The sequence below is a fragment of the Homo sapiens genome, chromosome 7 (assembly GCF_000001405.40).
Source record: "Homo sapiens chromosome 7, GRCh38.p14 Primary Assembly".
NCBI lineage: Eukaryota > Metazoa > Chordata > Mammalia > Primates > Hominidae > Homo > Homo sapiens.
In genome coordinates, this window is record NC_000007.14 from 37,028,548 (window position 1) to 37,043,604 (window position 15,057).

Consider the following 15,057-nt stretch of genomic DNA (forward strand, 5'->3'; position numbering starts at 1 on the left):
CTACTTATTTGTTTATTGGTTTTATAAATCCTGCTCTTTAAAAAAAAATTATTTGAGAGAAAGTCTTATGGTCTTGCTAGGATGGACAGCAGTGGCATGATCACAGCTCACTGCATCCTTTAACTCCTGGGCTCAAGCGACCGTCCCGCCTCAGCCTCCCAAGTACCTAGGACTATAAGCATGTGCCACTACACCTAGCCGATTCTTTATTTTTTGTACAGAAAAGGTCTTGCTGTGTTGCCCAGGCTGTACATTCTGATTTTAGTAAACAAGACACCAAATCCATTTCCTTTAATAAAAGGCTAATATCCTGAAAGATTAAGAAAATCAAGCTAATCAGACCAATTTATTTCTTGCCATGCATTTATATAGTGCTTAATATATAACAGCCACTGTTCTCAGTGTTTTACAATTATCAAATTATGTAGTTCTCCTATGAACTCCCCATAAGACAGGTTTGGGTCTTATTTCCATTTCATAGGTGAGAAAAATGAGTCACAGAGAGGCTAAGTGACTTGCCCGAGTCACACAGCCAGAGAGAGGCAGAGCCAGACGTACGTGCAGGAGGCAAGCAGCTTTCAGAGGTTGTGATCTTAACCAGATCTGTGCACAACCAGTGTACTCAGAGGTCTCCTTGGCCCAGAAGCTAAATAAATACATAATTGCTGCCATTATGCAGTAGGAGATGTGAATTTGCCCACAGTTCACATAAAAAGACCACAGGCCTCTTTGATCCTGACTGATCACATACATATCAAAGATTACCCCAGGTGTCTCAGGTTTTAGAATCTCTCATCAGTAAGTAGCCAAATTATATCAGTTTGAATCATTACAAACAATTCCATGCACACTGATTTCTTTAAAAAAAAAAAATCACGGCGATTATGAAGATTATGTAAGTACTGGATTTCTTTATTTCACAGAAAGAGCCTCAAAACCAAACCAAAACAACCAAACACAACAGATGTTAGTGTTTTGGTGGTATTTTGGGAAATAAATTTGAGTATAACACAGCATACTCACTAGGGTGTGCTCTCAGAATGTATTGAACATACAGACATCCTGGAAGGGAATCTGGTTTTGCAGTTAATAAAAATTATTTGCACCATAAAAATGCCCTAATAAAATTAGGCTTAAACTCTTGTTATTGGTATAAGGAGTCTACTTTTTCATTCTCCACAGCATCGTAAGCTAATTGGTATTCCTACGAATAAAACATTCTTTTTTTATTCCTGGGCCACTGGGATGGAGGCATGTATAGATTCTGCCTTAGAAATGTATGTTTGTGAAGAATTAGAGTCTTAAATTAATGGGTGAAGATCTTTTTTAAAACCTTAGTTTCCTCCTAAGTTATTCGTAATACTCGATGTCTGCTACTTTTTTTCTTCAGTCTTACTGACTTATAATGATAATCAACCCCCGAAGGTTCTATAAGATCCCTGCAAGTCTTTTCAGGTGGCTATAATCCAATCACAGACATTGCCTCCAGGAGAATTTGCCCTAAACCAAATTCAGTGAGGGCTACTTTCCTCTCCAGCTTCTTGGCGGCCATCTTTCTCTCTCTCTCTTTTTAAAAATCTTCACTAAGGAGAGACCATTTTAGATAAGAAAACAACTTAATGAAAACCTAAGGATGAGACTAAACATAAGATGCTTTTAAAGGAAGAAAAATACTGATGAAATTGTTCAGAACTTCCTCCTATGTGAAATGCAAGTTGATACTCTCAGGCATTTTTGTTCCTATTCCTCACAGATATTTTATTTCATTTCTTAGTCATTCAATTTTGTTACTAATACTTGAAACTGTTTTTTTTTCCTCTCCCCTGACAAATGCATTCTGAAACTTTCATTTTATAAACACTTGCCAATTCTCTAAAACAAGAGAGCATTTTTACTATTCTACAACACATAGCAGTGACCCAGGATATCTTATATGGTTAATATAACGTACAATAAGATACCCAATATGACAACATGGTTCTTAGTAAGAAAGACATTCTATCGAGTGTGTATATACTCTTGTGGATTCCTTATGAATGGCTTCAAAATTATTTGATAGTCATTACTACCTCACAGGGGAAAAAAGCATCAGCTCACTAATACTGGAGAAGAGATACCTGGATAATTGTTCTTCTTCCCAATCTCCTTGCTCTTTCTCGTCTCCTTCATAGATTTGTTTTTTGTTTTTGTTCGTTTTCCTTCTGCCCAAAGTTCTTTTCTCACCATTCTTTTCTTCTCACTCTTCACTCCTGCACTAGGAGGACTAATCTGGTCCTGTAGCTTCTACATTCATAGATGCCAAATCTCTATTTTGAACCAAGATAGTTTCCTGAGCTCCAGACAACTCCTTATTGGACACGCCCATCTTAGCCACATCTCTTAGCCACCTCAAAGTCAAAATTGACAAAACATAACTCCTATTCTTTATGGCTTATCCAAACTTACTAGGTTCTCCATCTCAGCTATTTTTGCTCAGTTGACTCTTCTCTCAATCACCATCTCACAAATATATTATATTTACTCCTTTCCTTTCCCACTGCCACTGACCTTGGTTCAGGTGCTCATCACTGCTCTTCCGGATTAAGACAAAAGGCTACAATGGTCTCCCAGTCTCGGGACAGATCCATTTCCCTCACTGTCTTCCATGAGGAGCTCATCAAAACCTAACTATAGCCACATGTATAGCCTCTGCTTAAAATCCTTCAGATAAAGTAACGCCTCTTCACAACACGGACCCTGACTCGCCCTGAATGAGATGGTTTCTGGGTCAGCTTGAAAAAATGTTTCCAGAATGCATTTGCCAAGGGAAAAGAAGAAAATTTTGCATTTGCAAAATTTTGAGAAAATAAGACAATAATGAAAAACATAAACTGTTTGGAAGACTTTTAGACTTAATACATGCTTTTCCCTCTGCCTTAATCACCCTTCCTCATCTCAATTCGCTCCTCAGTGGTAACTCCTGCAGGTCTTTCAGAATCCAGAGCAGTTGTTCCCACTTCCAGGGGATTCTTTTACGCCCATTCTCTATAGGCTGAGCCTTCTAAGTGTCTCCATCTGACCCTCTGCCACTTTTCCAATGCTCTGTTTGCTTTTTTGTCTCCTTGTGGAAATTCTAATACCCTTGAGGCTTAGGACTACGCCTTCTCTGTCTTTATATATTCAGTACTTAGGGCCTCAAAAAATGTTTGTGGAATGCATGTTTACACGTGAAGCAGGCCTTACCCAATGGAGCCGAGTTCTTGAAGTCACCACATTCAAAAATTATTCTTCTCCTCACATTGAAATATTGCACTGAAATATTATATTCTTGATAGTGACAGTTAATCATTAAACATCCTTCCCCACTGGCAAAACAAAACATGACCACAGGAGAAGGCTCCGTGGAGACCATGCCCACACATTTCAGTGCCTGGGCTAAAATAAGCATGTAAGTGTGTAGGACTGATCATCATATTGCACCAGGAAGCGCGCCCTTCCAGATTTAAAAATATACTTGTTTGGCTTGATTCAGGCTGCTCCTCATTCCAGGCCTGCGTGAGTCATTGGAGAAACATCCTATTAGAGTGCACCCCTACTGATTGGCTTCCTTTGTATGTTCACGGTGACTCAGAAGAGATGACTCACAGTTCACGCTTATGACAAAAAGAACTTGCTCTCCCTTCCTTTTCATTACCCATGTTTTGCAGGCTTTATTGGCACCTTTGAAAAACATCTAAGGGAGCAAGGGAAAGGAAAACACAGGGGGCAGCCTGAGAATTGGCACTACTTATTTTTAACAAGCAACCCTACTTAAAGCACCTTTCATCAGAGCAGCACAGATATACTTTGGAGGCCTAATACATCCAATGCTCACATTATTCCTGGAAGGTCAGTAACTGGATGCTATTGCTCCACCCTGCCAGTTGATGGAAAGGAGGGATGCTCGAAGGACATAAAGATACTTCGCAATGTCCCTCTGCAGGGCTGGCACCCAACGCTGGGCTCTCAGAGCCGCTGTTGATAAAATGGCTGGTTAGATCATCCTCTCTTGGTTATAATACCCAAAGCCTTGGCCAAGGAGAGAGACATTCTCCAAAATAATCAGTGGTCAAGCAGTGAGCATGAAGCAAAGTGAGAGGACAATCCAACCACGACAATCTTCTGGATGCCTCAAGATGCTCATGACCTGTCACTGGCAGAAACTGTTGGGTTCTGTGCCAGTTACAAACAACAGAGGTTAGTTCCTTTCATTCCACTTCAGAAAACATTTCTGAGTACTTATCCACAGAGATGGATCAGGCATAGACTCTGACCAGGAGAGCAACAAGATAAAGTGCAGTGAGTTATACACCACAAAGTAAGGACAGGTCAAGTGTCTGGAGAGTCCAGGGGAAGAGTTGGCTTTATTTTTTAGAGAAACTGGCATTTGAATTGCACCTAAGGATGGGTGGAATCTAAATCATACTTCTACACTTCATCTTAGCCAAAACGCCGAGAAGCGATAAAATCATATTTCTGAATGTGTTTTTCCTTCAGAATAATTTACTAGTCAGGCTCATCTCAAATTCCATTTACATTCAGACTCCACATTCCATAATCGCTGTCTCCTGGAAGCCATTGAAATGCATGCATATACGTCTGCCTGCAAAGGAGACACTTCTGTGTGCAGTTCTGGGTGGGTTTATGGTACCCAAATAAACGGAGCAGGAGGAGCGCAGACGGGCTAAGTCCAAATTGTTCCCCCTTCCAGGGGATCCTTGTGCAGTGAGCTCTGCCTATGCTTTAATAAAAGGGGATAAAAATACTTGCCACCTACTTACCTCCGAGACACACTGCAAGGCTGGATCGTGTTCACGGCAGTGTGAATTTTTCAGGAGATAAGTGATCTATGAAAACAAAGCTTTATTATCATAAATGTTGAGCGAAAATGAAGCAAAACCAATGTCTAGGCCATGTGTTTAGTGTTAAAAAAAAAAAAAATACACCAAACAGACACTGGATTATAACTTTCCAGCAAGCCAGCATTCCAATGTCAAGGCCTGAATGTCCCTTCCCAGGGAGTAGGGCTACAAGGGTCCCGGTACACTGAATATCTGATGAAATGAGGCAAATGCAGTGTTTTGATGACAGATGTTTCTGATAAGAATACAGAATTTGGAAAAGAAATTGCAAGGCAAATCTGTCCCATGATGTGAGATCAGGGACATGAATACTGGAGACTAAGATCATCAGAATTGATCCCTAAAGAACTGCGAAGAGATGTGGAGGAAACTAAGAGAAAGACTATTCATTGCCCGAGGCAGAAGGGAGTGGGTGGTTCAGAATCTTCAGGGGTGCGGAATAAAGACAACAGAAGATAAAGGGAGGAAGCGAACAGTTAGCTAGTAACTCTCTCAATTAGGTTTAAGATAAGAGAGACAGTGCTGTGCCAAAAAAAAATTAGAGCATTAGTGGACTTACTTACATTGTATTCCCATGTACAAATCAGATATACGTTTAGGAGATGAATTACTTCTAATTCCTCACAACTTCACACAGTTGAGAGATCAGAGGGAAAAAAATGTGTAATAACATGAGTTAAATTGTGACCTTCCACCCTCAAATTCCTATGTTGAAGTCCTAACCCCAGTACCTCAGAATGTGACTGTGTCTGGAGAAATGGTCTCTAAAGAGTGAAGTTAAAATGACAACAGGGTGGGCTCTAATCCAATAGGACTGGTGCCCTTATAAGAAGAGGATATTACAATACAGACATGAACAGAGGGAGGCCCATTTGAAGACACACGAGAATATGGTCATCTACAAGCCAAGGAGACAGGCCCCAGGAACAAACCAATGCCTTGATCTCAGACTCTGGCCTCTGTAATCATGATTTTTTTAAAAAATTATGTTGTTTAAACCACTCAGTCTGTGGTACAGTTGACCTATGAACAACATGGAAGTTAGGGGAACCAACCCTTTGCACAGTCAAAAATCTATGTGTAACTTTTGACTCCCCCAAAACTTTACTAATATCCTACTGTTGGCTAGATGCCTATCAGATAGCAAAAACAGTTGATTAATACATATTTTGCATGTTATATGTATTATATATTGTATTATTACAATAAAGTAAACCAGATAAAAGCCTTACTGGTCCTTATGACTCCCTGATCTAGAAGCTGAATTAGGGATGTTGTTTGGGGGCAAGTAGACTGTTTCAGTTTCTTTGATTTTGAACTTATGGGGTTCTGGGTGGCAGGGGCATTGTCCAATATGGAAAGAACTTTAAAAGGCAGTCCCTTACTGGCAAGGTACTTCCTGACTTCAGGGACAAATATCCATGGGACCAATCCAGAAAAAGTGTTCTTTTTGTCCAGAGCTCCTTCTTGTACAACAAGAAGACTGGAAGCTGGTGTTTATCTCCTTCCTTCAGGGGTTGGAAGTGAGCAGCTTTATAGATAAAGGCAGCCCTGATCATAAACCCAAATGCATTTGCCCAGAACCAGTAGAGTTAACCTAGTCCTTCCAGCCTTAAATCCTGGTGCTTGCTTCTCTTCCTTTCCAATAGATTCCTTGGTGGCATTTTCCATTCCCCCATGATAGGGCACTTTTGTCTTCATTAAAAACCTGTTCAGGCAGATATCCTTTCCCATTAATGATTTTCTTAATGGCGGTTTGGAACTCATCTGCTTCCTCTTGTTGGCAGAAGCTATTTCTCCTATTAGCTAGACAATTTTAAAGATAAATCTCTTTCTAAAATTATCCAACCATCCTTTGCTGGCATTAAATTCTCCAGATTTTGATCTTTCACCTTCCTTTTGCTTTAAGTTGTCACAGAATGACTTCTTTTTTGGTTGGATCATATTCAAGTCTATAGCTATGCTTTTCTAATAGCAATTCTGCACCCACACAAAAGCTGCATTTTCAGTATGAGATTAAAACGTATTTCATAAAAAGTGAAAGATTTTTGTACCTGCTGCATAACTGCAGAAACAGCTTCCTGAATTTCCTTTTCTTTTTTACAATGGTCCTTATGCTGGATTAATCTAGCTTGAAATGTCAGGCAACTGCAGCTGCAGACCTCAATATTTGGTACATATCAAGCAATTCAACTTTTTCTTATAATATCATGACTTTGCTTCTTGGAAGCACTTCCAGCATGATTAGTGGTACTTCCTATGGGTCCATGATGTTATTCAAGGCTTAAAGGATTACACTAAACTTGATGAGAAATAAAAGAGAACTATGAGAGATCATTTTTCACTGTAATACACAATTTACCAGAGAGAAAACTTTATCTGGAGATGATTACCATCACATGGTGTGTTAAGCAGATACTTGCAACATTTGAGCTCACTGCAACACCAAAAGGAGATGGCTATGAAACCATTAGTCATACAGTATGTACTACAGTTAATTTTATGCAGTTATGATTTAACACTGCACCTTTGCATTTGTTGACATTTCTCTTGACTGTGAATGATGCCATGTATGGTCTGTAAATGTTTAAGTTTTGATACATTTAAACTTTCTGTAATGGATTTGTGTATATTTTATGGTAGTGAATGATAAAATAGAGTAGTATCTACATATGTTTCATGCATCATGGCATACCTAATTTTTTGGATATTTCTAGGCTACACAGTTTGTTGGAGTATTTTCAAATTGTCGCAAATCTCTAAAAAATTTTCCAACCTATTTATTGAAAAAAAAAACCATGCATAAGTGGACCCATGCAATTCAAACCCATGTTGCTCAAGGGTCAACTGTACTTTGTCATGGCAGCCCTAGCAAACTCATGTGTATACAAAGTACCTTTGAAGATGCTTAATATCATACAAATGTCAGGATTGTTACTAATTTATTTATTTATTTGTTTTAAGACAGGGTCTTACTCTGTCACCCAGGTTGGAGTGCAATAGTGCAATCTTGGCTTACTGCAGCCTTGAACTCCTGGCTCAAGCAATCCTCCCACCTCTGGCTACTGAGTAGTTGGGATTGCAGGTAAGTGCCACCACATCATCTAGTCAATTTTTAAAATTTTTTATTTTGTAGAGGTGGGGTCTTACTATGTTGCCCAAGGTGGTCTCAAACTCCTAACCTCAAGTAATCCTCCCAACTCAGATTCCCAAAGTGCTGGGATTACAGGCATGAGCCACCATGCCCGGCCTAGGATTGTTATAGGAGGTTACTTCCAGGAAATGATGGGAAATCAGGAGGAAGTCCACCAATGGGGGCCACACATGTAGGTGCCGGAATTTCATCTTCTTTTTAAAATGGATGCAAGATATTGGAGTTGGAGGAAAGCTATGTTAAGGATCCAATGACCCAAAAGTGATAGCACCAGGATTTGGCTCCCAAGGCAAGAAAATATTCAAAAGAACTTCTCAGCAAATTTTATGTGGAAGAGAAGATAAAAGAAACAAAGGTCACTCTGAAGCTTGAGTTCATAGAAATCACAGGAGAATGAAGTGGCCAGTGTAAATGAGGAGCCAGGCACAGGAAAGAAGTGGAGAAATAATGAGAAGGAAAGAGAAATACCATGGGGTTACTACAGAATAAAAGATATTCTTCTAATGAAATAATAAATGAGGAGTTGAAAGTTAATTTGTGGAATTTTCCAGATCCACTAGTTAAACTCACAGCCAATCAAATGGTGACTTTCCTATATAAAAGACTAGAATATGCCCTTTAATGTTTTAATGAAAGAAAATCTGAGATGAAGAAGTTCCTCAAGTGAGTATGTTCAATGCCAACAGTTCCTGTGCATTATGTGGAAGAGCCACACGTTGTTCTGTGATTTTCAATAACCTTTCATTTATTACAGGCTGACACTGATGCTTGCATTTCCCTCCCCAGGTCAAGCCAAAAAGTGATCGGCCATTCTTTTACTGGGTTCCAGCCAACTCTGTCCGCTAACCCCTATGACAGAGGAGATGGGAAAATAATTGAGCTGCTACCTAGGAAGGCACAAACATTTCCTGTGGTGAGGACTTAGGAAGCAGTGCCAGGAATCGGGCCATCGGAAGGCCTGAGCACACTGGGCACAGGTTTTCTGCCCCTAGCAAGGGACTGACAATAAAGTCAAGTGAAGCAAACTCTGTTCTAAATAAAATTCAGACAGAGTAGAAGAGAGGAAGGGGCTAGTATCAAGTGAGCTGGGGTCAACAGAAGTTTTGTATCAGAACTCACAGAATTGCTCACTAGTCCGACTCCCTCACCAACCCAAAACATAAGCTTTGTGTTTTGTTTCATGACATCACTTCATTTTGTCTGAATGAATGATACTGAGATGCACACACAGACACGTGAATGTATATGGCTTCAAGATATTGTTAATCTGGGCAGCTGACACCCTTAAAATTTTAGTACTAAATAAAAGAACTATGGAAGTTATGGAAAAGGTAGCACATTGGAAAGACAGCCTGAAGACTGCAATCAAGAGTGAAACAAATGTTTTCAGGGATCACGGTGCCAACTTAACACAGATACCATGTTTGAGTGGATGCACCTGCCTTGCCCATCATCCCCTATATCTTAAAAAGATATATTCCTTAGCTGTCTCTGTGGCTCTGTGCTTTTCAATCAGGAAACCATGTACAGATCCTGTCACTGAAAGCTAAACAAAACAAGCATTGGTCCCGATCCCCTTGACAACAACTTCCCAGAGCCTCCAGCTCCACCTTCATCCTCACCCTCCCCATCCCATTGGTTCCCATGTCTCCCTTGCTCAAGGTGTTCCTGACTTTTCTCCTGCCCACTTGGCTCCCACCTAAGGGGGAACAACCTGAACTCAGCCCCACCTTCATCCTGTCCCTGGATGCTTTAGGTTGCTGGCCTGCCTGTGCAAGCTCATGACCCCTGGAGCTTCACCCAGGGGGCACCCTAGTTTCCCAGAACTGTTTCTCTTATTTTAATAGAAGCCTTGTGGAGGCAAGAAATTAACTCCACACCAGTGACCCAAAGGATGCTCAAGGTATTTTGGGACAGATTTTTTGATCTTCCTTCTTACCATAAAAGTCATTGCTTTTTTTGAATTTTCTAATCATCACCTACATCTTGGATTCTCAGTAGCAGAGCCTGGAAATGAAAAGGTATGACAAGCTTCCTTCTTGCTTAGAGATTTTTCTTCCAATATTACTCTTCCAAACTTAGTGTATTAGTTTGTTCAGGCTTCAATAAAACAATACCATAGACTAAGTGACTTAAAAAACAGGAATTTCTTTGTTTTTACAGTTCTGGAGGCTGAAAGTTCTTGATCAGGGTGCAAGCATGGTTGGGTTCTGGTGAGGGCCTTCTTCCTGGCTTGCAGATGGAAGCCTTCTTGCTGTTTCCTCACATGGTAGAAAGAGAGAGATGGCAAGCTCCCTGGTGTCTCTTCTGATAAGGGCACTAATCCCATTATGAGGGCCCCACCCTTGTGAACTCATCTAAACCTAATTACCTCCTAATGGCCCAATCTCCAAATACCTTCACATTGCCAGTTAGAACTTCAAAATATACATTTGGAGGGAGGACACACTTAAGTTAGTAGCACTTGGAAACTCTGAGATTCATGCTTTTTCTTGAAAGAATTAGAAAAAGTTTTATGAAGTTTAGAAAATGAGTCACTGCTCCAATTTTTAAAAAAAAAAGATTTAGTTTGCAAGGACAACCACATGGATGCAAACAGGCTCACAAAATGAATGGTCCTTTACATTATATACTTATCAAGGGGCAGAATGTACAGATTATGACATGCCATGGTTTGAGGTCAACTGGTTTTCTCTGTTTCAAAATGCTGACATTCTTTCCATAATAATAAGAGCTGCTTTGACGCCTAGAAGCCTCCTGGGCACTCTGACTGCAGGCCATGAGGAGGGGGAGATACAAGGGCAGGTTCTCTTCTAGCAGGCTCCTGCTCGTGGGCAGGGCACACAGCAAACTGTGTCTTTGTTCCTTTCCCCACAAAACTGGAGAACAGATCTATCATTCCAGTTTGTCTTAATACTGACTCAACAATAAGTGGTACTGAAATGCTGAGAGGGCAGTTTGGACTTTTCTAGTTACAGCATCAGAAGGAAGCACTATATGAGCACACAAACCCTTCAACATTGTCCTTATGGAAACAGGGAAGCAGAAGCTGTTTCAGTCTGCACCTTCTCCTCAGGGGAAAATTTTCTTTTTTAGCCTGAGGCCAGTTGACTCTATTTCAGCCTGTGTCTAATTCCTCTTCCTAGCTATCGACAATAAATACTTAAAATTCACACGGTTTATTTAGATAAATAAAATTGTTGGTTTTATTTGTTGACATGAATTAATCTCTCTCTACATGAGCAACATCATGCTGATTGAAGATAAATTACAGGTGCTGATCCAGAATAATTAAAAAGTGCAAAGATGTAAACTTCTTAAATTTTACTCAGATTTTTAAAATGTTATCACAGAAAATTCTACTGGACAGTACTGTAATGTAACATTACATTGTATTACAGTATATTACAATGTTGTCCAGTAGGCTTTCCTGTGATAATGTAAATGTTTGTGTTTGTGTGTATGTGTGTGTGTGTATGTGTGCGGACTGAGCACTTGAAATGGGGCTAGTGTGACTAAGGAATTAAATTGAATTTTAAAATTTTACTTATTTCTACTTAATTCAAATTTAAATAGCTACCTGTGGCTAGTGGCTAATATACTGGACAGTAGTTTTAGAGAGACAGGTGTTCAACTTAGACACCTACCACTAGACAAAAACCATCCTCAAAGCACAAAACTAAATAAAGCCAAACAAATAGTTTGGGATCATTTTCCTGATTACCCCCAGGGGTAATGATTATATGGTGACTTTGTTAAGGACAAAAGTAGCTGTGATATTGTACAAACAGTTCTTGCATAATAGGTCTTCCAATGCAAGACCAACAGAAGAGAACTCCCATGTAAAGGACTTAGCATCATTATGACAAAAACATTAACTGATACAGGAATGGCAAAAATGTAAACATAGGAGCACCCAGCTGCCATCAGCATGTGCATGATGTGACACGCAGAACTCTGTGGATGCCAAATCCCCACTCCTCCCCAGTGTACGGCTTTGTTTATAGTGGAACAAAAACAGCCGGTCACAAACCTAAAGTAGTATATGTTTCACGCACAATGTTACTGCCTGTTAGTGTATTTCTCCATCAGTGAAGGAGGAACAGGGCATTATGTAGCTGCCTCATCAGCTATATCCTGGTGGGTATAAGCAGCAAATGTGCCTCCCTTATTCCTGTATTATTAGCGTTCTAGCACTCTAAAAGTCATATGGGGCTGGGCGTGGCAGCTCACTCCTCTAATCCCAGCACTTTGGGAGGCCGAGGTGGGCAGGTCACCTGAGGTCAGGAGTTTAGACCAGCCTATCCAACAAAGGCAAAACCCCGTCTCTACTAAAAATACAAAAAAAATCAGCTGGGCGTGGTGGCACATGCCTGTAATTCCAGCTGCTCAGGAGGCAGAGGCAGAAGGATCGCTTGAACCCAGGAGGCAGAGGTTGCGGTGAGCCGAGATCATGCCACTGCACTCCAGCCTGGGCAACAGAGTGAGATTCCGTCTCAAAAAATATATAATAATAAAATAAAATAAATAAAAGCTATATGGGAGTAGGAAGTTGAGATCAGAGAAAAGAGGGGCATATGCAATAGGTAATGTCAATACTCTCTATAGGAAAGAGGGAAAAACGACTCTCGTGCTACATTGTTGCACTGACCTTGGCTGTCCCTATAATGTCCTTAGGGGAAAGGAATAACACAAAGATTAATGTGATCATTTGTCATTTTATAGCCATAACCTGAACAACATAAAGCCTTATTCATCATGGACAGACTAGAGGACCCTGAAATATACAAGGTCTATTTCAAACTGGAAGGTCTTGGCCCACCTCACTGATCTACTGTGGCCCCGAGTTGGGATTGCAGCAGTGGTCTATGTGTGCCAAAGGAAAGACACACACGTTTATCAGGAGTGAGTGTTTTTGTATTTTTTTTCACTAGTCCAACATCTCCCAGAAATTCACAGACAGAGTGAGGAAGTGGGGAGCAAGGAAGCGGGGAGACACTGTTTGAAAAGTATCACCAGAGACAAAAAGGATGAGTTTATCACATACGTGTAAAATAAATGCATAAATTTAAATTGAAGTCACAGCCCCTGAAATACTGGCAGAAGAAAGGAGAATGAAGATATGAGGATCAAGCTGTGCTCGGTGGTGACCTTGCCAACAAGAACACATGAGTTAACGTGGCAGAAAAGCAACCCCCACCCCAGGAACACTGGCTGTGAGCCCTGCGACGGCACCCTTTCTCATTCACTGAGTTGCACCAAAGTGGACACGGGTTTTCTTGACCTTATTTTCTATGTTGATGAAACACTTGTCGCTAATTACACTTTCAAAAGTAGAGAGATTCATCATTTACATTTCACGATATATGTAATTGTTTTAGTGTATTCTTGACAGCCCTATTTTGTTAAAGAGAGTTACATGGCCGGGCATGGTGGCTCACACCTGTAATCCCAGCACTTTGGGAGGCTGTGGCAGGTGGATCACTTGAGCTCAGGAGTTTGAGACCAACCTGGGCACATGGAAAAACCCCGTCTCTACGAAAAAAAAAAAAAATACAAAAACCATCCCACCACTGCACTCCAACTCCAACTTTGGCTGTTTGAGTGAGACTCTGTTTTTCTGACTTTTGAAAAAAAAAAAAAAAAGAAGAGAGAGAAAGAAAGAGTGAGTGTTACATATGCACTGGGAATTTGAGTTTCATAATTTTACATTTCACTGTAAAGGAATATTCAGAGCCATGGTTTTTTTTTAAACCCAGTTTGTATGGGGCACATTGTAGTGATGAATTAAATATTTCCATATTAACCCTACTGCTGCTGGTAGGCACTGATTTCTCTTAGTTGAATTCTGATTTCTTTCTTTCCTGTGCTAATCTGCAGGAGCCCATCAGCCCAAAACAGAGTTGCTCAACTGCCCTGTGAGTGATGCCACAGTTACAGCTGAATGTCTTTGGGCCCGGTCAGCTGTAATTCCAGGTAGGGACTGGGAATATGTATGGAAAAGATGCAGGCTCTATCAGAAGACAGTAGAAATGGGTCATTAGTGACCAGACGTTCACTTCCAAAATCTGAGACATCCTGAACATCCTGAGAACATCGTTCTTTATGTTCTAATGCCCATGAGCCTCATTTCCAACTGTAAAGCCTTTACACTGGCTGTTCCCTTGGCCTGGAATATTCACTAACTCCTCATGGCTGCTTTCTTTGTAACATTCAAGTCTCAGCGTCAATGTAACCTCTTCAGAGAAGCTCTCCTGGGCCACTCACAATCTAAACTAGCCCCCACACTCTGGAATATCACTTGGATTCAGTTCTGCGCATCACATTTTCTGATACATGATATTTTCTTCTTTGCATGTATGTTTATTTGTTCATTGCCTATCTCCATGCACTTGAAGCAAGCCCCATTTGAGCTGTATATGTAGTTCATTATCGTGTCCACATTGCTGGGAACAGTGCCAGTCACCTAAAAAATGGCTGCATACATATCTGGTGCCCTCACAGTGTTCACTGTGGCAGGTTCAGGAGGCCTGCTCTCCGCAGACAATGCCGGGAGCCTCCTCTCACTCCAGTCCCTTCTCCCTTCCAATTACCACTAAATAAAGAAACAACAGCAGCAAGAGTGGGCAATAGAACTGTCTTGTCTCAGCTAAAAGCCATAAGAAAGCCTAAGTCTAAGATCATCTGATGGATGATCCTGTACTGTGTTAACTGAGTCCAGCAGTTCTCGTCCCTGTGCCCCAAGCATCTTATTAAAGGCTGCCAGGCAGCTGTACTCAGTTGCATATTAAAAATCACCTGCATTTAAGAATTAGTGGTGCCCCAGAAAGCAGAGGAGTGGCTGCCAGGGCCAGGTGTTGGGGGAAAGGATGGCAAAGCGGCCACACAGGAGGTTTTGGAGTGATGCAAATGGTCAGATCTTGACTGTGGAGTCGGCCGTATGAATGGATGCCTACGCGCATGTCAAAATGCAGAGAACTGTACTCAAAAGGGGAAATTCTACTATGTGTAAATTATATCTCA

At 40.8% G+C, this 15,057-nt stretch overlaps 1 protein-coding gene across 14 annotated transcripts in view, besides 2 other annotated features; it reads right to left on the bottom strand.

Annotated features, from left to right (window-relative positions):
- The window catches only part of ELMO1 (engulfment and cell motility 1), a 596,421-nt gene that overhangs the window by 175,642 nt on the left and 405,722 nt on the right, over window positions 1-15,057 (bottom strand). The gene's annotated exons all lie outside the window — the stretch shown is intronic.
- Window positions 3,147-4,346: an enhancer, noted in NCBI's record as "P300/CBP strongly-dependent group 1 enhancer chr7:37071299-37072498 (GRCh37/hg19 assembly coordinates)". NCBI's record gives its function as "activates an origin of replication core promoter dependent on BRD2, BRD4, P300/CBP, MED14 and CDK7 cofactors, with strong dependence on P300/CBP, by STARR-seq in HCT116 cells {active_cell/tissue: HCT116}" and the evidence as "EXISTENCE:reporter gene assay evidence [ECO:0000049][PMID:35650434]".
- Window positions 3,181-3,850: an enhancer, noted in NCBI's record as "NANOG-H3K27ac hESC enhancer chr7:37071333-37072002 (GRCh37/hg19 assembly coordinates)". NCBI's record gives its function as "activates a minimal SCP1, AML or CMV promoter by ChIP-STARR-seq in primed H9 embryonic stem cells {active_cell/tissue: H9 hESC(primed)}" and the evidence as "EXISTENCE:reporter gene assay evidence [ECO:0000049][PMID:30033119]".